The sequence below is a fragment of the Homo sapiens genome, chromosome X, assembly GCF_000001405.40.
Source record: "Homo sapiens chromosome X, GRCh38.p14 Primary Assembly".
In the NCBI taxonomy this organism is placed as follows: Eukaryota; Metazoa; Chordata; class Mammalia; order Primates; family Hominidae; genus Homo; species Homo sapiens.
This window is the reverse complement of record NC_000023.11, coordinates 28,499,220-28,520,371: the sequence shown is the minus strand read 5'-3', so window position 1 is coordinate 28,520,371 and position 21,152 is coordinate 28,499,220. Positions and strand designations below refer to the sequence as shown.

The window sequence follows — 21,152 nt, the reverse complement described above, 5'->3', positions numbered from 1 at the left end:
CATGTACAGCCAGCCCTCCATATCCATGAGTTCCACATCCATGGATTCAAATAAGCATGGATCGAAAATATTTGAAAAGAAAAAGGATAGTTGCATTTGTACTGAATATATACAGACGTTTCTTTCCTTGTCATTACTTCCTAAACAATGCAGCATAACAACTATTTATGTGGCATATACATTATATTAGTAAATTAGAGACGATTTCAGGTATATACAAGAGGATGTGTTCAGGTTAGATGCAAATACTACACCACGTTACATCAGGGACTTAAGCGTCTGAGGATTTTGGTATTTATAGAGCGTCCTGGAACTAATGCCCCATAAATTCAGAAGGACAAATTAAGCTTATATTACTGCCTATAAAATAACTGTATGTTCTTCTTTCATAGTTTGTGCTCAGTCCACATTCTCCATAAATTTCATGGATATACTACGTATTAGTCTGTTCTCACACTGCTAATAAAGGCATACCCAAGACTGGGTAATTTATAAAGGAAAGAGATTTAATTGACTCACAGTTCAGCATGGCTGGGGAGGCCTCAGGAAACTTACAATCATGGCAGAAGGGGAAGCAAACATGTCCTTCTTCACATGGTGGCATCAACGAGAAGTGCAGAGTGAAGGGGGGAAAAGCCCCTTATAAAACCATCAGATCTCATGAGAACTCAATCACTATCATGAGAACAGCATGGAGGTAACCGCCTCTATGATTCAATTACCTCCCACTGGGTCCCTCCCACAACACGTGGGGATTTGGGGAACTACAGTTCAAGATGAGATTTGGGTGGGGACACAGCCAAACCATATTATACTAGTACCTGTGTATTATCTTCAGAATTGAAGGAGTAAGGGCTAATCTATATATAGTTATTATTTATAGTTGTCAACAATGGTTATGCTAGGATACTTAACAGTATCATTGATGCCTGAGTTACAATATATCTGTGAATTGATAGCACTAAGCAAGTTCATTAAAAAGCTTCTAGGTTTGTAAATATGTAAATATCGCAAAATGAGAACTATTGATTTCTTTCCGGCATCTTATTTACTTTTGATAATGAATTTGTGAAACAAGATCAGAAAATTAATATCAATTTTTCTATAAATAGCATGAAATTCATTTAATTCATTAGCATGAGAAGAAACTAATGTGTGCTTTTTTAAGACCTTGTTTACTATGTTAGAGTGAATAAAAAAGGTGATGATGTTTAAATGAGCTGAGTTGGAAAGGCCAGTTTCAGAAATTACAAAGCCAGTTGAGGGAAAGAGGAGCCAGTTATCTGATAGCTTCAACAAAAACAAAGGAGTCAGAGAATATCCTTACCCATAGATTGAATTATAATACTTAAATCTTGGAAAAGGATGCTTCCAGGAGCAGACCATATAGAAGTGGATAATTCAAGGAACTTCAGTTGCTGTATGGATTGGTGGGTGATATTGAGTGACACAGTATGTTTTCGAGTTCCTACTCTTTTGGTTGAACAGATTAGTCATGAGAAATTTCAATGATGATGAGGGTGTGAGAGAAAGCTTTGGATAAATACATTTTCTTGCCTTAGAGGGTAGGTGATTTTCATTTGGATTCAATTGTGCACGATATATTGGATATAAACTGTCTCAAGTGGAGACATAGCATAACAGTTGCTAATTTATTTGGACACTTGACACCTCGCTGGATCCACACTCTGATGCTTTGCCCTGAAACAGCTAGGCCAGCAGGGGATCACAACAGTTGGAGCAAGAAGAATCTTTAATAATTGCAGAGATGAGGGGAAGATTGATCTAAATCAAAACAGGTAACAATTTACCATAAAGACAGCACAAGAAAAAACACTTCAGCATTTTCTGGTGTTTCCCATTCATTAAGTTCTTATTTAAGTTGGTATATTTATCAAAGGTATCCGTGATAAGAAGACATAATTTTTTTTTTAAGTTTTAATTGTTTAGAAAAGGAAAAAAGCAAAGGCACTGGAGGTTGTATTAGGTCTTCTAGGTCTTTACTACTTGAGGAAAGGGTGACACTTAGCTGTAGTGGCCTTAAATTTCAGAAGCAGGACCCCAAGTCTCTGAGGGAGGGCTGCTAGAGATTTCACAGTTTTGATGCTGTCAACTCTTGCCTGGAATCAGCACAAAAGAGAAACACTCTGAACGCATTAGAATCACACAGTACTGTATTTTTCAGAGAAAAGAGTTTAGTATGAGTAGGTCTTTTTTGGCTTCTATCCGCATCAGATTGGTTGAATTGCCATAGTCACCAAAGACTACCATTTAAAGACTATTTCTCTGTAAAGACGTATGACATTAAAGAGAATATTTAGAATAAACCTCTAAAGAGAAAATTCTAGGAAGGTTTTGGAAGATTCAATAACGAGTGTTCAGTGAATTGCAGAAGCTATTTGTAAAGCGGTTAGAATATTGTAGCTCTAATATTGGGAGAGATTAGACACTTTTTATCTGGTGCTGACAACCAAACCTCTTAATCAGCCACTAGTGAGTCATAGTAAGTTTTACAGTTGTTTCATTAAAGGTTAAACATAATTGGTTACAGTCTAACTTTCTTATCCATTACAGTAGCTTCTGTTATAACTTTAGCTATAACAGAGCCTTTTGAGTTCATGATCTTCAGCTCTTATTTAGTGTTTCAATGGATAATTTCAGGTTATTATGAATAAAAATGTTAATGTGTCTATAAAATTTTCTCAAAGAAGAAATATTACCCGAGAGGGTCACAGTACAATTAACTAAATATGCGTAGTCAGTACATAGTTAATTTTAGTACTATTAATTATGAAGAATCCTTCTCTCAGGAACACAAAGTTTTTTGGCGGCTGAATCCTGCTATGCTTCTCTTGTTCTTGAGGTTATGGATCTGACCGTATGAACCCTGTGGGTAGGACTGATTACTGGAGTTCGTCATTTGTTGTTCATGGCATTTGTAGGTTGCTCTGGACTTTTGATCAAAAAGGGCTGCTTGCTTGTTGTCTTCATCAGCTGTGGTAGCTACTGCTGCCTCCAAGAGCCAAGAGTTATTATTTTTCATCTCTAGAACATTATACAGAGCACTTTAAATAATTGTCAAAGCTTATAAAATGTCTGGTCTTGAGTGTCCTATGATTTAATGTAGGCATGTAAAATGCAGGTCAGAGGTTTTCTCTTACTTCTGTGCCCTTACACGATTTTGCCTCAGGACCTCACACCCTGGGACATGATGTAGTACGATGAAAGTATGGTTATCTAACACCAACTGTTGAGCAAGTCTATGGGATGGGGTAGGGGAGTTTCTGGAAAAAGACCCAATAGGCGAGGGAGATCTGCCATATATAGAAGGTATGGCTCTTTGTCATATGAAAATGTGTCAATTTCACACATAAGAAGTGAAATACAAATTCAAATTACAATAGTTGTTTTCTAATTTATCAGTTTGGCAAAGATAAAATGATTTGATTTGTGTTGCTAAGGGTGTAGATAATCAGGTACTCCTTCACATTTTTGTGATAGTTTCAATTGTCTAATTTTTGTGCATGAAAATTTCAAAAATCTATCAAAGTGAAAAATGCAAGAATCCTGGGAACTAGCAATATCCCTTCTAGGAATATATTCTACAGATACACGCAAAAATATATCAAATGATAGTCATTGCAGTATTGGCTAAAATGGTAAAAGACTGGAAACAAACTAAATGCCCACCAGTAGAGAATTTGTTAAATAAATCATCATCTGTTTATTTTATGTAATACTCAACAGCTGTATTAAATGAAATGAAGGAAATCTATATCTACTGAAAAGGAATACTTTTGTAACTGAACTCAGATTTGGCTGCTTGTGTTCAAAAAGTCAGACACATGAGAAGTGAGGTTGGGTGGAAGCAAAGCAGGTTTATTCAAGTGCCAGCAGCTTGGGAGCTGGCCAGACTAGTCTCAAAAAGCCATTGCAAATCCTCAAGCTATCTAAAGGGGTTTTAAGAGGAAAGGTGTCATGGAAACTATGCATAGGAGTGGCGTAGGGTGCAGGTCTGCTTGTCATTTTCCAATGGCTGTCTTGACTAATGGACCATCCAGAGGCCTGGTTGGCATCATTTCAGTGGGGGTCGAGTTATGGATTAACTGTGCACCAAGGGAGAAAATTGCAACAACCACCTCTGCTTTATTTCTGGATCGTTTCAAAATTAGCTTTTGGAATTCTCAAGCAAACAGGTAATTAGATACATATGCAGCAAGGAACGAAGGGAGGAAGGAGCTACTTTTAGAGTAAGCTAGCAAACTGGCTATATCAGTTACATACTCACTGAGATATATCATTAAGTGGGAGGTAGGGTCAAGGTATACAGTATAATACCGTTGGGTATTAAAATATTTATCTGTGAGTATACTTATATTTGCATATAACTTTTCTGGATGAATAACAAGAAATGAGTGACAGTTCTTATATTCAGAGGTGAACTCTATGACTGGGAAACAAAGTGGATTAGATTATTATTCAGCAAATATTCATTCCCATGCCCTCTCCCCTCAAAGGTAGAATATAATTTCCTGCCCTGGTGACTAGATCTTGGCCATGTGACTTATTTTGGCAATAGGATATAGCAGATACCACACAAGTAAGGATCATAAATGTGCGTTAGCAGTTCTGACTTGGCCATGCACCTCTGTGATTGCCATGGGAACAATATGCTCCCAGGAGCCATAGCCCCTTCAGCCTGGCCCCCAGAATGACATAAGTGGATTATCCCCAAGCTTTACTCAAAGCCTAGATCCAAACCCACACAGCCCACAGTCTGAAGCAGAGGTGCCCATGGCAATTTTTAGACTTGTGAGTGAGAGAAGTAAATGATTGCTGCTGTGAGTCACTAAGTTCTGGCATGGTTTGTTACATGGCAATACTGCAGCAATAGCTGATTAATACAACTGTAGACTTACTTATGTATAGCCTTTTGTACCATTTAAATGTTGTATAACGTACATGTATGATCAAGTTTAAAAGGTACATTAAAAGAATCTGTTTACCTCTACCTCCTGAAAACCAATCCAAAAGATGCACACAAAATAAGAAATAACTTTAAAAGAACAGTGCTGAAGTCCATGCCTCAGTCATATTTTGAACTGTTCAGCTGACATGGTTATTGGTGGTTTGAGATTCATGCTTTCATCTTTAATCTGGCCATCCACTGAGGCATCATTCAGTCTTTTTTTTTTCTGAGACAGAGTCTCGCTCTATTGCCCAGGCTGGAATGCAGTGACACAATCTTGGCTCACTGCAACCTCCACCTCCCAGGTTCAAGCAATTATCCTGCCTCAGCCTCCTGAGTAACTGGGACTACAGGCGCGTGCCACCAAGCCTGACTAATTTTTTGTGTTTTTGGTAGAGATGGAGTTTCACCATGTTGGCCAAGCTGGTCTCAAAGTTCTAACCTCAGGTGATCTGCCTGCCTTGGCTTCTGAAAGTGTTGGGATTACGGGCGTGAGCCACCGCACCCGGCCCATCAATTAGTCTTATAAAGCAAACTTACTAAGGTGGAAAGGAAGAAATGTGTTTGCATACATTGAAAGAATAATTGCTGTCTTTGGCTAGAAGATGATGAAATACTGATGGATGTTTTCATTGATTTTAAATATTTTTGGTGTTTTGCTGATCTAATCTGTGTATACCTGAATAAAAGCAGAAGTGCTTCAATAGTATTTTGTTTTTAGACAGCGGATGTTCCTGGAATACCTAGGTTTTAATGAAGCATGAAAGCTTCGAAGAAGAATACATTTCCCATAGATATAGGAGATGGTAGATAAATGACTTTGTTTTGAGATTATACTGTGTCACTGAAACTCAATTTTTAACTCAGTTATTATATTAAACCAGATTAAATGTGATTTACCAAAGTATATTTTTGGAGAGGACTCTATCAACCATGAGCATTCATGCTAACCAGATTCTCTTTGAGAAAGCTGATCATCTATCTACTCCATAATTTATTGAAAAAAGATCAGGATCATGAGTGAGAAAGCCAGAAAAAGTACTTTGTACAGCATGAATATTTTATAAGGGAGAGTGACTGTCTATAAACATGAAATCATCACTCTTAGAATTTGCGTGACATGAAGACATGGGAGTTGGCAGTGGGAAGAAAATGTAAAAATGCCTGAAACACAAGATGCCATGACATAGAAAGAAGAGTGGAAGAGGGTAATTGGGAATGGAAAGAGCAGAAGTAGCATAAGCAGTAGTTGGATCACCATCATGGCAGATCACCTGAGTAAGGAGGATTGCAGACCTGCCATAGAACTGCCAAAAGGTGGCCAGGTGCGCTGGCTTATGCCTGTAATCCTAGTACTTTGGGAGGCTGAGGCAGGCGGATTGCCTGAGCTCAGGAGTTCGAGACCAGCCTGGGCAACATGGTGAAACCCTGTCTCTACTAAAATACAAAAGAAATTAGCCAGGTGTGGCGGCATGCGCCTGTAATCCCAGCTACTCGGGAGGCTGAGGCAGGAGAATTGCTTGAACTTGGGAGGCGGAAGTTGCAGTGATCCGAGATCATGCCACTACACTCCAGCACTCCAGCCTGGGTGACGGAGCGAGACTCTGTCTCAAAAAAAACAAAAACAAAAACAAAAACCTGCCAAAAACTGTCCCAGCCTCTGGATTTTCCTTGTATGCTAAATGATGGTCGTAAAGAAGGCTTCAGTTCCCTTCAGGCCTGGCTCTGAGATGGCATCTAATTTTACCATCTTCCCTGTACATTCTTTTTGTTAAAATTTTATTTCATTTTTAATTGACCCATAATAATTGTACAGACTTATGGGGTAAAGTGTGATGTTTTGATGCATATATATATATATTACATAATGATTAAATCAAGGTAATTAGCAAATTCATCACCTCACACATTCATCATTTATTTGTGGTGACAACAATCAAAATCCTTTCCTCTAGCTATTGTGAAATATACAATACATTATTGTTAACTATAGTCACTCTACTGTGCAATAGATCACCAGAACTTATTCCTCCTATCTAATTGTAAACTTTTACCCATTGACCAACCCTCCCCATTCCACCCTGTACATAAATACATGAGTATATCTTCGTTCTTGCAACGATGTAAAAAAAGTTCAACAGACACGACAGTCAGGCTCAAAGCTTCTAATTATTTCCAGGTAGAGAAACACTCTGTTTTGTAGTGACTGATAATATCACTAACTCCACGAATCACACTTTAGTTGTAATAAATCAAGACTTTAAGGATGGCTCCATAGAAATGTGTTGCCATTTTTGGAAAAGGGAAAAACCTTCAAATATATAATTCTATAATTTGTTTTCTTATTAGTGCATCACCTGTATCTTCATGTAACCATGAAGATAATAATTCTCAATAAAGTCTTTCTACCTGAGAATGACAACTTTTGGGAATGATGAGTTGCCACTGAATTCGAAAATCAGAGAAATCTGTGTCACTAGTTTTCTCAGAAAAACACAAATTCCTTCTTTTCTTATTTGTTTGTCTATGAAACAGACCAAATAGTTAAGTTGCCTATTACTCTTTCTTATCAATGAATGCAAATTAAATTATCTAAAGCAGAATGGTTATTATCTCAACTGTAAATACAGCTGTAAATATTAAATATTCTATCACATCCTCCTTATAAAGTCATTGATATCTCTGCAAATTTTTCAGTAGAAATGAGGCTTTAACTATCACTAATAGGATGAGGATCGATGTGGTCAATTTGCACTGACCATCTTTAAATCGATGAATGTCACAAATTCTATTCTGTTCACTAGTTCACAAGGACCCGTCTACAATAAATGCACTAAATGCTGTAAGCAAGTAGTTTCTGAAAACCATTTGGCTGTGTTCCTATTCATCAAAGCATTGAACTCATAATACCATGAAACAATTAGTCAGACTACAAATTAACTAAGAAGCTTTACTCCTACATTACTATGTTTAATTCCCGAAACGAGCACTGAAAGAGTAACAGGCCCATTATCCCAAACTCTAGAATAAATGGGCCCTTGGAATTTTTTTGTCCCATGGGGTTTTTATAATTTAAGCAACATTCTAAGTTAGATCACTTTAACCCTCTAGCTGCATCATTTTTGTCTTAAGAAGAAAACCATCATTTGAATGAAGAATAATCCCCCATTTTGAAAGCATATTATAGTTAATATCAGCCTGTGATTATGATATAATTATGAAAAAATGTGAAATATCAAGGAATGATTTCAAAGTATTTGTTTTTTATGTCCAAAGCATTTATAATTCAACATCACTATATAAAGGTAAAAATTTTTTTCTGTTGACAAATTCTATTTTTAAAAGGGTAAGGTAATATTAAACATGACATTTTCACAAATATTAGCAATATAGGATTGGTTTGCTATATTTTCATCCATAAGAGGTTATTGTTGCAGTTTTATACTGCGATTGTTGTATACATAGACTAATATTTACTTTTTCAAATATTTACTTGTCCCAACCAATCAAATGAAAGGAGAAATGTATCAGAAATTTCCTGGGTAAAAGAAAAAAAATATAGAAATGGTCGATGAAAAATTCAGAGGATTTTAACTGAATTAATTACTTGTAATATTCCCATTTTTTTCACCTCCTACAGTTTATATTACAATATCAAAGTTATATATTACTTTTTTGTCATTTAAATATAGCAGATGAAAAGGGAGTTTTCTGAAATGAGTGGTAACATATTCAGGTTCTTGTCCTAGGTATAGCTTTGGATCATAGAAATACCCAGCATGAAACTCAGTTATTGACACTGTATTTCTTAAAATGGTGCCCTGTTTGGAAGTGGAACAAGGAAGGATGCCTGGCAGTGTCCTCAGGGTGGGAAAAGACTTGCTTAGAGGGACTGAATTCTAGAGAAAATTCTATCTTGAATAGAGCTTGTTTGGCGCTGCATTCAAAGTGTTGCTGCACAGTACTTTCCCAAAAGAGAATTAATTTCCCTATCTCTGTTTTCCTATTTGATCATCTCAGGTGAAAACATACTCAATTTCCTACCCTGACTATTAATAACTCATACATCTTCATTTCTTTCTTTCTTCCTTGTCTTGAGTTGTTCCTTCAACAGTGCCCTAGAATCTAGAGAGAATCCCAGGGCCTCTCCTTTGAGATATTGATCTATAATTGCCTTTTCTCCAATACCTATTTAATCTTTCTATTAGCTCTTTCTTCTCACAGCATGTGTGACAGACATTAGTGGCTGCCTACCAACAACCTTCATTTCCCTCTTTCTTTTTGGCTAGTTTTACCATTTCTCTGCGGTAAAGGCTCAAAGTGTTAGGATACCCTATCTACCAGCCTTTCATGTAATACAGGGAAAGGCTGAGGAAAAGACTGCCAAGGCTTTTGCAAAAGGCAGTTCTCACTAATAAGAGAACGGCATGTGATGAATAATTCCCCTTTTTTTGTTTCCTCCCTGCTTTGGATGCTAACTTGTGAGGACAGGAGGCTTGGAGCTACAATAGCCATCTTGCAATCATGATGGAGAAACATGGAGGGAATTCTGAGGAATGGTGTCTTGGGAACAATGGAAAGAGCCCAGGGACCTTGATGACATCACTGAGCTACTGAAAAACTCTAGGTTCAACTATCTCTGGTCTTCTTCCTATGTAAGAAAACCACACCTATTGTTTTAGCAATTTTTGGTTAAATATTTTATTAAGTGCATCAAGAAGCATCCTGATTTTGATTTAAGGTAGCTGTCTTACCTGGATAAACATTTTTTTGTGTGTTCTTTTCCCCTTTCTTCTTTCTGCAAGTAAGAGCAAATGTGATATTGCTAAATCACAGCAGATATTTTGGTCCATGAAGTGACTTTGAAAATGGAAACTATATGTTAGTTATAATAAAATAGAAAGGTATAAAAAGCCTGGGTCTCTGATGACCAGGAGACCACCGTAAAAATTCTCAGCTGCCCACCTTGAAACTATTTTCACATGATGGAGAAACGAACTTCTATCTGACGTAGCCCACTGTGTTTGTTTTATTTTATTTCATATTATAGGCATCTGAAAGGAATCCTTATACATATAACATGCAAGTATATGTATAAGAAGACATCAATGTCAGTAGCATAAGAAATACATGAAAACATGAATAAAAGTTTTAGCTAGACATTTTTGGATAAAAAGATAAGTGTATTTAAATTTGTAATAGTTACAAATCGTTCTACAAAAAGTCAGCATATATTTAAATTTTTTTGATACTTAAGATTTGTATATTTGTGATTCTACCAAATTTATGATTTCCCTATGGTTATTATCAAAGTTTTTACAGTTTTCTCATCTTATTACTTTAAAATAATTACGGTTATGACTTGCATTTTTAAAAACTTAGAAAAGTTAAGTTTCTCTTCATTTCTTTCTAGGCAAGCAATTTATATTTCTTTTCCTGTTAATTGCCTGACAATTTATTTTGCTTGTTTTTCTATACGAGTTCTCTTTTCTTATTGATTTAACTTACATTAAGGAAGTTTATACTGTATGTTGCTATATTTTTGCATTTTTTTGTTTGCTTCTCTTTGCTTTGTTTTTAATGCTATTTTGTGTCGTGGAGATACGGCAAACATTTATTTAGTAAATTGTCAATTTTCACAATTACAGCTTCCAGGGCTGGTGCCATAATGGCAAAAATTTTCACTATACTGATATCTTATAATTATTTATAAGTATACATACATAATAGAAACATAAAACATTTATGTTTTTCAAATATTTTGAAATGTTTTTACTTTTTATATTTTGATGTATCTAAAATTTATTTTGAAGGGTTGCATGGGGGATACAGCACTTTTTTTCCTCAAAAGATTAGTTAGTTCTTCCAATACCATTTATTGGAAAATCAGTCCTTTTTGCACAATTGAGTTGTCATTTAATCATACTTTAATTCCATTGTTTTTTCTAGAGTAGCTCAGTACCTGAACTAAATATTCAATTACATTTGTTGAATAAATAATGGAATTGTGTAAACTACTTCCACAAATTCTGTTGTTATTTTAATTAAGGTCACATTGTGTTTATGGATTAATACAGAAGTAACTGATGATATACAGTACAAAATTTTCCAATTTGAAAGTTTGGTATCAGGCCGGGCGCGGTGGCTCATGTCTGTAATCACAGCACTTTGGGAGGCTGAAGGGGCGGATCACGAGGTCAGGAGATCGAGACCATCCTGGCTAACACGGTGAAACCCCGTCTCTACTAAAAACACAAAACCAAAATTAGCCAGGCGTGGTGGCAGGCGCCTGTAATCCCAGCTACTCAGGAGGCTGAGGCAAGAGAATGGCGTGAACCTGGGAGGCGGAGCTTGCGGTGAGCCGAGATCACGCCACTGCACTCCAGCATGGGCAACAGAGTGAGACTCTGTCTTGAAAAAAAAAAAGAAAGAAAGAAAGTGTGGTATCTATTTTAACTTATTTCTATTTTTATGCTGTACAGTCTTTGAAGTCTAATTCTCTTAACTAGATTCTTTCCACTTTTAAAAGGTTTATTTCTCCCATTTTTCCTTTCTGTCTTGATCTGCTCCCTAAATATATTTATACTCTTTGCTGTCTTCCCTGCCCTACATCCCATGTATGTTAAGTATTTTCTGATCCATAAGATTCTTGCTATATAATACATCCATGAGGATTATCTCAGTTTTGGAGGCCTGCATTTCTTACAGAACAGGCTACATAACTAAGGTACAGTTGTTTCTCAGTATGCGTGGGGAATTGTCTCCAGGACCTCCCCTTCAACTCATGAGGATACCAAAAATCCATAGATGCTCAAGCTCCTTATATAAAACAGTGTAATATTTGTATATAATCTATGGAACATACTCTCATATACTTTAAATCATCTCTAGATTACTCATAATACCTAATACAATGTAAATGCTATGGAAATTATTGTTATGTGTATTCTTTGGGGAATAATGATAAGAAAAAAAAGCCTGTACCTGTTCAGTACAGACACAGCCATCCATTTTTTTTTCCCTAGATATTTTCTATCTGCCAGTGGTTAAATCCACAGATGTGGAATTCATGGATATAGGGGACTGTAATAAGTAGGCTGGCTTTCTGTCAAATCCAATTTAACTTTATGAAGGATTTTTAAACTAAATGCGAATTTCTTTGAAAAGTTTGAATCCATGGGATCTACTTTAAATCTTATTTTAAAAATCTCATACCTGCACAAAAAAATTGATTGTTAGATACCCGTTATTTTTTTTTAATACTGTTCTTGCTACTGGGATTAGAAGAGCTGGGGAAATATAACAGAGTCATATAAAACAGTTTCTCTCTTCAAACATATTATAGTCTTATTTTACAGACTGGATAGAACTCACAAAACAAGTAGAAATAATACTAGAGAGAACTGACTCATGTACCAAGGTATATCCAGCAGACAAAGTACTTACAGAGCAGAGATTTTAACTACTTTATGGGCCACAGATTCCTTTGTAATGATAACTAAGGTACTTGTCAGGCCTCTTAGCCTAAGCTAAGCCATCATATCCCCTGTGACCTGCACTATACATCCAGATGGCCTGAAGCAAGGGAAGAATCACAAAAGAAGTGAAAATGGCCGATTCCTGCCTTAACTAATGACATTCCACCATTGTGATTTGTTTCTGCCCCACCTTAACTGAGCGATTAACCTTGTGAAATTCCTTCTCCTGCCTCAGAACCTCCCCCACTGAGCACCTTGTGACCCCCGCCCCTGCCTGCAAGAGAACAACCCCATTTGATTGTAATTTTCCACTACCCATCCAAATCCTATAAAACGGCCCCACCCCATATCTCTTCGCTGACTCTCTTTTCAGACTCAGCCCGCCTGCACCCAGGTGAAATAAACAGCCTTGTTGCTCACACAAAGCTTGTTTGGTGGTCTCTTCACACGGACGCACATGAAATTTGGTGCCGTGACTCGGATGGGGGGAAACTCCCTTGGGAGATCAATCCACTGTCCTCCTGCCCTTTGCTCTGTGAGAAAGATCCACCTATGAACTTGGGTCCTCAGACCAACCAGCCCAAGGAACATCTCACCAATTTTAAATCCGGTAAGCGGCCTCTGTTTACTCTCTTCTCCAACCTCTCTCACTATCCCTCAACCTCTTTCTCCTTTCAATCTTGGCACCATCTTTCAATCGCTCCCTTCTCTTAATTTCAGTTCCTTTCCTTTCCTTTTCTGGTAGAGACAGAGGAGATGTATGTTATCCGTGAACCCAAAACTCCAGCGCCAGGCACAGACTCGGGAAGACAGTCTTCCCTTGGTGTTTAATCACTGCGGGGACGCCTGCTTGATTATTCACCCACATTTCAGAGGTGTCTGATCACCGCGGGGACGCCTTCCTTGATCCTTCATCCTTAGTGGCAAGCACCACTTTCCTGGGGGACAAGCAGCCTCCAACCCTTCTCTCCGTGTCTCTACCCTCTCTTTTCTCTGGGCTTGCTTCCTTCACTATAGGCAACCTTCCACCCTCCATTCCTCCTTCTTCTCCCTTAGCCTGTGTTCTCAAGAACTTAAAACCTCTTCAACTCATAACTGACCTAAAACCTAAATGCCTTATTTTCTTCTGCAATGCCGCTTAACCCCGACACAAACTTGACAATGGTTCCAAATAGCCAGAAAACGGCACTTTCGATTTTTCCATCCTACAAGACCTAGATAATTCTTGTAAAATAGGCAAATGGTCTGAGGTGCCTGACGTCCAGGCATTCTTTTACACATTGGTCCCTCCCTAGTCTCTGTTCCCAATGCAACTCGTCCCAAATCTTCCTTCTTTCCCTCCCGCCTATCCCCTCAGTCCCAACCCTAAGCGTTGCTGAGTCTTTCCAATCTTCCTTTTCTATGGACCCATCTGACCTCTCCCCTCCTCCCCAGGCTGCTCCTCGCCAGGCTGAGCCAGGTCCAAATTCTTTGGCAGCCTCCGCTCCTCCACCCTATAATCATTCTATCACCTCCCCTCCTCACACCCAGTCTGGCTTACAGTTTCGTTCCGTGACTAGCCTTCCCCCACCTGCCCAACAATTTCCTCATAAAGAGGTGGCTGGAGCTAAAGGCACAGTCAAGGTTAATGCTCCTTTTTCTTTATCCTACCTCTCCCAAATCAGTTAGTGTTTAGGCTCTTTTTCATCAAATATGAAAAACCCAGCCCAGTTCATGGCCCATTTGGCAGCAACCCTGAGATGCTTTACAGCCCTGACCCTGAAGGGTCAGAAGGCTGTCTTAGTCCCAATATACGTTTTATTACCCAATCCACTCCCGACATTAAATAAAGCTCCAAAATTAAATTCCAGCCCTCAAACCCCACAACAGGACTTAATTAACCTCGCCTTCAAGGGGTGCAATAATAGGGAAGAGTTGCAATTACTTGCCTCTGCTGTGAGAGAAACCCCAGCCACATCTCCAGCACACAAGAACTTCAAAACGTCTAAGCCACAGCGGTCAGAAGTTCCTTCAGGACCTTCTCTATCAGGATCTTGCTTCAAGTGCCGGAAATCTGGCCACTGGGCCAAGGAATGCCTGCAGCCCAGCATTCCTCCCAAGCCATGTCCCATCTGTGCAGGGACCCACTGGAAATCAGACTGCCCAGCTAGCCCAGAAGCCACTCCTAGAGCCCCTAAAGCTCTGGCCCGAGGCTCTCTGATTGACTCCTTCCCAGATATGCTTGGCTTAGTGGCTGATGACTGATGCTGCCGAATCGCATTGGAAGCCCCTGGACCCTCACTGATGCCGAGCTTCGGGTAACTCTCACGATGGAGGGTAAGTCCATCCCCTGTTTAATCGATATGGGGGCTACCCACTCCACATTATCTTCTTTTCAAGGGCCTGTTTCCCTTGCCCCCATAACTGTTGTGGGTACTGATGACCAAGCTTAAAACCCCTTAAAACTCCCCCACTCTGGTGCCAACTTGGACAACATTGTTTTATGCACTCTTTTTTAGTTATCCCCACCTGCCCAGTTCCCTTATTAGGCCGAGACTTTTAAATCAAATTATCTGCTTCCCCATTTTACCTGTCCAAAAACCGGACAAGTCTTACAGGTTAGTTCAGGATCTGCGCCTTATCAACCAAACTGTTTTGCCTATCCACCCTGTAATGCCCAACCTGTACACTCTTTTGTCTTCAATACCTTCCTCGACAACTCACTATTCCGTTCTTGATCTTAAAGATGCTTTTTTCACTATTCCCCTGCACTCCTCATCCCAGCCTCTCTTTGCTTTTACCTGGACTGACCTTGACACCCATCAGTCCCAGCAGCTTACCTGGGCTGTACTGCCACAAGACTTCAGGGACAGCCCTCATTACTTCAGCCAAGCTCTTTCTAATGATTTACTTTCTTTCCACCCCTCCGCTTCTCACCTTATTCAATATATTGATGGCCTTCTACTTTGTAGCCCCTCCTTTGAATCTTCTCAACAACACACCCTCCTGGTCCTTCAGCATTTATTCTTCAAAGGATATCGGGTATCCCCCTCCAAAGCTCAAATTTCTTCTCCATCCATTACCCACCTCGGCATAATTCGTCACGAAAACACAAGTGCTCTCCCTGCCAATCGTGTCCGACTGATCTCTCAAACCCCAACCCCTTCTACAAAACAACAACTCCTTTTCTTCCTTGGCATGGTTGGATACTTTCACCTTTGGATACCTGGTTTTGCCATCCTAACAAAACCATTATATAAACTCAAAAAAGGAAACCTAGCTGACCCCATAGATCCTAAATCCTTTCCCCACTCCTCTTTCCATTCCTTGAAGACAGCTTTAGATACTGCTTCCACACTAGCTCTCCCTGACTCATCCCAACCCTTTTCATTACACACAGCTGAAGTGCAGGGCTGTGCAGTCGGAATTCTTACACAAGGACTGGGACCGTGCCCTGTAGCCTTTCTGTCCAAACAACTTGACCTTACTGTTTTAGGCTGGCCATCATGTCTCCGTGTGGCATCAGATCCCATTGCTCTAGACAACGCTTATGCTGATAAGGTGGTTAGACAAGCAACTAGCATTCCAACTTCTGTCCCTCAATGATAGATGTGGAAGATACTATGGCACAGCCTGCCTTTGCTGGTGAGTGGCAATTAGGCCTGGTGGAACTGCCATCAATAAACCAAGTGTGTTCAGGGTGAGGAACAGGAAAGAAGGAAATATGGGGAAATGGGGTGAATGTCATGTGGATCAGAGAGATACAGTCATGGGGGTCAGGTGTGGTATCCCGAATAACGTGGGAGGCCAGATTGAAGTCTGGGCCAGGAACAATGGTAATTGTGGGAGACTCAACAAAGAGTGAGTATAGCTGAAGGAGCCAGGGAGCAGAAAGTATATGCATCAGGTGTGAGGAAGAAAATAGATCTTGGAAGTTATGAGAGCTGTAGAGAGTGAGTTGAGCATAGTTTGTGATTTTGAGGGCCTCTAAAAGTATTAGAGCAGTGTCAGCCCCCTCCCTTCCCTACACTTCAAGCTTAGGGATTTGCCCCTGCCCAGGACTGGCAAATTGACTTTACTCACATGCCCCAAGTCAGGAAACTAAAATACCTCTTGGTCTAGGTAGACACTTTCACTGGATGGGTAGAGGCCTTTCCCACAGGGTCTGAAAAGGCCACCACGGTCATTTCTTCCCTTCTGTAAGACATAATTCCTTGGTTTGGCCTCCCCACCTCTATATAGTCCAATAACAGACTGGCCTTTATTAGTCAAATCACCCAAGCAGTTTCTCAGGCTCTTGGTATTTAGTAAAACCTTCATACCCCTTACCGTCCTCAATCTTCAGGAAAGGTAGAACGGACTAATGGTCTTTTAAAAACACACCTCACCAAGCTCAGCCTCCAACTTGAAAAAGAGGACTCTGTATATTTTTAAATGAAGAGTGTTTTTACCTAAATCAATCTGGCCTGGTGTATGACAACATAAAAAAACTCAAGGATAGAGGCCAAAAACTCGCCAACCAAGCAAGTAATTATGCTGAACCCCCTTGGGCACTCTCTAATTGGATGTCCTGGGTCCTCCCAATTCTTAGTCCTTTAATATCTGTTTTTCTCCTTCTCTTATTCGGACCTTGTGTCTTCTGTTTAGTTTCTCAATTCATCCAAAACCGTATCCAGGCCATCACCAGTCATTCTATATGACAAATGCTCCTTCTAACAACCCCACAATATCACCCTTACCACCAAATCTTCCTTCAGCTTAATCTCTCCCACTCTGGGTTCCCACACCACCCCTAATCCCGCTCGAAGCAGCCCTGAGAAACATCGCCCATTATCTCTCCACACCACCCCCTAAAAATTTTCACTGCCCCAACACTTCAACACTATTTTATGTTATTTTTCTTATCAATATAAGAAGACAGTAATGTCAGGCCTCTGAGCCCAAGCTAAGCCATCATATCCCCTGTGACCTGCACGTATACATTCAGATGGCCTGAAGCAAGTGAAGAATCACAAAAGAAGTGAAAATGGCCGGTTCCTGCCTTAACTGATGACATTCCACTGTTGTGATTTGTTTCTGCCCCACCTTAACTGAGGGATTAACCTTGTGAAATTCCTTCTCCTGCCTCAGAACCTCCCCCACTGAGCACCTTGTGATCCCCGCCCCTGCCCGCAAGAGAACAACCCCCTTTGACTGTAATTTTCCACTACCCACCCAAATCCTATAAAACAGCCCCACCCCTATCTCCCTTCACTGACTCTCTTTTCGGATTCAGCCCGCCTGCACCCAGGTGATTAAAAAGCTTTATTGCTCACACAAATCCTGTTTGGTGGTCTCTTCACACAGGCCCGAGTCCCTAGAAAAGAGTGACAGCAATATGGACCGAAGTATTCAGGTGGGTTTAAAGAATAGGTTGGGATTTTGAGCAGTCCTTTCAGAAGGGTAGAATCTGTTTAAGTTGATTTAAGTAGAATATTACATTTAATCACATGCATCATACAGCGTTCCCACAAGAAACAGATTTCACTCCCAAGGTTTAAATGAAGATACTTTAACAGGAGTGACAAAACTAAAAGAAGACATTGAGGCATCCAAAGAGTAGTAGCAGCAGGAAATGGTTACCACTTTTAGGCCCCCATCAAAGGGATAGGGGGAGGCCTCTGAAGACTGGAATCATGGAGGTGGGGCTGTCTGATGGGAGGGCTGTTGCTGCTGCCAGAGATCAACACTGAGTTGGATAAGTTGAAAAGAAATACCTACAATTTTCTTGCCTCTCAACCTCCAATCCTCTGTCAATGGGAAGCTAGCCAACAAAAGGGCCCAGCGATATTCTGTGGGAATTAGCCTGCCTGGGAACAGAACAGGAAAGAGGTGGAGAAGAAGCCTGAGAGCTGCAAAGGGAGTGTAGCAAACCGAAATGAGCCAGGAGAGCATGTTTTCAGAATGTTGCCTTCTTTTGTACTGCATACTTGTTGTGTAAAGTGACAGCAAACTAAATAAATATTGTATCAAAACAGTGAATATTGTATTTGTTCTTCATTTCTCTTCTTTACAGTGGATTTTTATGTTTTCTGGACTGTGACTGAAATGATGGCAAGGGTAGGAAGGCTCATCCTACCAGAGACACAAGAGAGAGTAAAGGGAGAAACAAGAGTTTCGTTTTTTTTTTAAATGATTTATCTTTGCACCTCATTTGAGGCACAAAATAAGAGTCAAATCCCAGAATACAAGCTTTTGGAATTGTTATATTTTTTCCTACCAAGAGCAATGCTTTAGGCAAGATGTGCTCCATGCATGTGCAACTTGTACAGTTGCATAGGGCCGTGTTTTCAGAAGTGTCCCACACTTGCATAATGCTCTGCTCTCACTCTCTTCAAATTCTTAATAAGTTTTAAAAGGGGTCCTACATCTTCATTTTGCACTGGGCACTGAAAATTATACAGCTGGTACTCCCTTCAAGGTGTGGAAATGTCTCATCACTTTCTAGAGGATGTATTTTTTTTTTTTGAGACAGAGTCTTACTTTGTCACCCAGGCTGGACAGCAATGGCACAATCTCAGCTCACTGCAACCTCCACCTCCCAGGTTCAAGCGATTCTCCTGCCTCAGCCTCCTGAGTAGCTGGGACTACAGGCGAGTGCCACCATGCCCAGCTAATTTTGTGTATTTTTAGTAGAGATGGAGTTTCACCGTGTTAACCAGGATGATCTTGATCTCCTGACCTCATGATCCACCTGCCTTGGCCTCCCAAAGTGCTGGGATTACAGGCATGAGCCACCATGCCCGGCCGGATGTCTTTATATATTGTTAATGAATATAGTAAGAGCAATAATCTTATGCATCACTCTCCACTGAAAAATTCAAAGTATTTAGGATATTATAATTTTTCCTTCTCTACCACATTTCGTGATTCACTAAAGAGAGATGGACATGCGTGAATCGACGTGAGGAAAGAGTCAGTAAGAATATAACTGATGTGTCCAAGATATGGTATACATTAATGCTGGAGTCAGGATTAGAACCAAGATATTTGGACTCCCAGGCTCAGACATCATTAATCCCTGAAGTATCTAAATGTTATGGATTGTAGAGCATGGCCAGTCAACAGCAATAACACAGAACTCTTGTTTTGAATCTTTTCACTCAGAAAATGTATGGTTCCTGGTAGGAGAATGCAGTTAGACAGAGGGTATAAGTTCTAGTGTTTGATAGTACAGCAGGGTGACTGTAGTTAACAATAATTTATCGTTTATTTCAAAATAGCTAGAAGAGAAGAATTGGAATATTCTGAACACAAAGAAATGATAAACGTTTGAGGCAATGGATATCCCAGTTACCCTGATTTGATCATGACACACCGTATGCATGTATCAAAATATCACATATACTCTAAAATATGTACAATTTTTCTGTATCCAGTTAAAAAAAAAAAGAAAACATATGGTTTCAACTAAAATACATGCTGAGAGTTGTCAACAGAGAGCAGAAAGGAAACTGAGGCCATAATCTGAAAAGGCTAAAGGAAATCTCAGAGCAACCATAAACTCTAGAAAGCTAAGAGTTTTTAAAAAGAGTCTAGACAAGCACTGACAGTCCAAGGCTAATGTAGTTCAGGTCTGCGGGGGTAACATAGGCTGACTTCATTGGATGCGTCTTGATGTCGACATCAAGCCATTAGTTTTAGTATTTCATATTTAATGCACTGAAGTAGTGATTTTTAAAAATTGATTGTTAAACACATCCTTTGGCTCTACATGTTCGTGGGAGTTGGGCCCACCAAAAGCAGTGCCTCTGTGATATTCTGTTCTCTAGCATCTCTGGCATGAAGGACAAGTGTTTTGAGTTGGCTTGGCAACCAGTGACCTGCATGCTTTTCCCTAGCTTATTTAACTACTGGATATTTTGTCAGTGATTTTTCTTCTAATAGCCTTTTAATAAATACAGGTTTTCACTTAAATTTATTTTTTTAATGACTAAGAGAAATATAACTGTAGGGATATGTATTGACTAAGAGAATATCTGTTTCGATTTCTCTTCATTTTAAATTTAATATTTTCAGCATCATATATTGGACTGATTCACACTTAAAACAATAGCTATGGTGTTAAATCCAGGTCAGTAAGATATGAAAGTAAAGGTGAAATTAATTGTATGAGAAAAATCCAACAATATATTTGTTGTCATTTTTTAAGGTTTTGTATTATATTGTTTTGATTTCTATCAGCAGAGGCTTCCAGAAATAACTGTTTCAAACATCAGACTCCAGATGGATGGATTTAAGCTGCAGCATTTTAAAGATAGGAAGATTCCTGTTAAATCAAATTGTCTTATGTCAAAATTACAGGATAAAGTCAATGACTTGTTCAAAAATACTTAGGAATAGTTGTTAATGTTTATAATATTCCTATCAATAGATAACAATTTGAATTCTTGAAATTCATTTCTATTAATTATATGATTATTGGTCATTTTCTCCAGATTTTTAATCTACTCTTTACGTCTAACATTTGTCCTTTTCTGGCCATAGGTTGAGTTAGTAATTAAAGAAAAAAAAATCTATTCCCTCAGTCTGACTTTGGCCCCGTTAGACTGTCATTCTCTCTGACAGGAAAAAGAATGCTCAGCTGCCAGTTTTTATGACAAGAACAGTATTTTCTCATATGTATTCTAGTACCCGACTTCAAAGCAAACTTTCATTTCAACAGTCTCAGTAGAATAACACATTTG

General features: G+C 39.2%; 3 annotated features.

Annotated features, from left to right (window-relative positions):
- Positions 12,150 to 12,988: an enhancer, noted in NCBI's record as "OCT4-NANOG-H3K27ac hESC enhancer chrX:28525501-28526339 (GRCh37/hg19 assembly coordinates)". NCBI's record gives its function as "activates a minimal SCP1, AML or CMV promoter by ChIP-STARR-seq in naive H9 embryonic stem cells {active_cell/tissue: H9 hESC(naive)}" and the evidence as "EXISTENCE:reporter gene assay evidence [ECO:0000049][PMID:30033119]".
- Positions 12,989 to 13,827: an enhancer, noted in NCBI's record as "NANOG-H3K27ac hESC enhancer chrX:28524662-28525500 (GRCh37/hg19 assembly coordinates)". NCBI's record gives its function as "activates a minimal SCP1, AML or CMV promoter by ChIP-STARR-seq in primed H9 embryonic stem cells {active_cell/tissue: H9 hESC(primed)}" and the evidence as "EXISTENCE:reporter gene assay evidence [ECO:0000049][PMID:30033119]".
- Positions 17,158 to 17,674: an enhancer, noted in NCBI's record as "NANOG-H3K27ac hESC enhancer chrX:28520815-28521331 (GRCh37/hg19 assembly coordinates)". NCBI's record gives its function as "activates a minimal SCP1, AML or CMV promoter by ChIP-STARR-seq in naive H9 embryonic stem cells {active_cell/tissue: H9 hESC(naive)}" and the evidence as "EXISTENCE:reporter gene assay evidence [ECO:0000049][PMID:30033119]".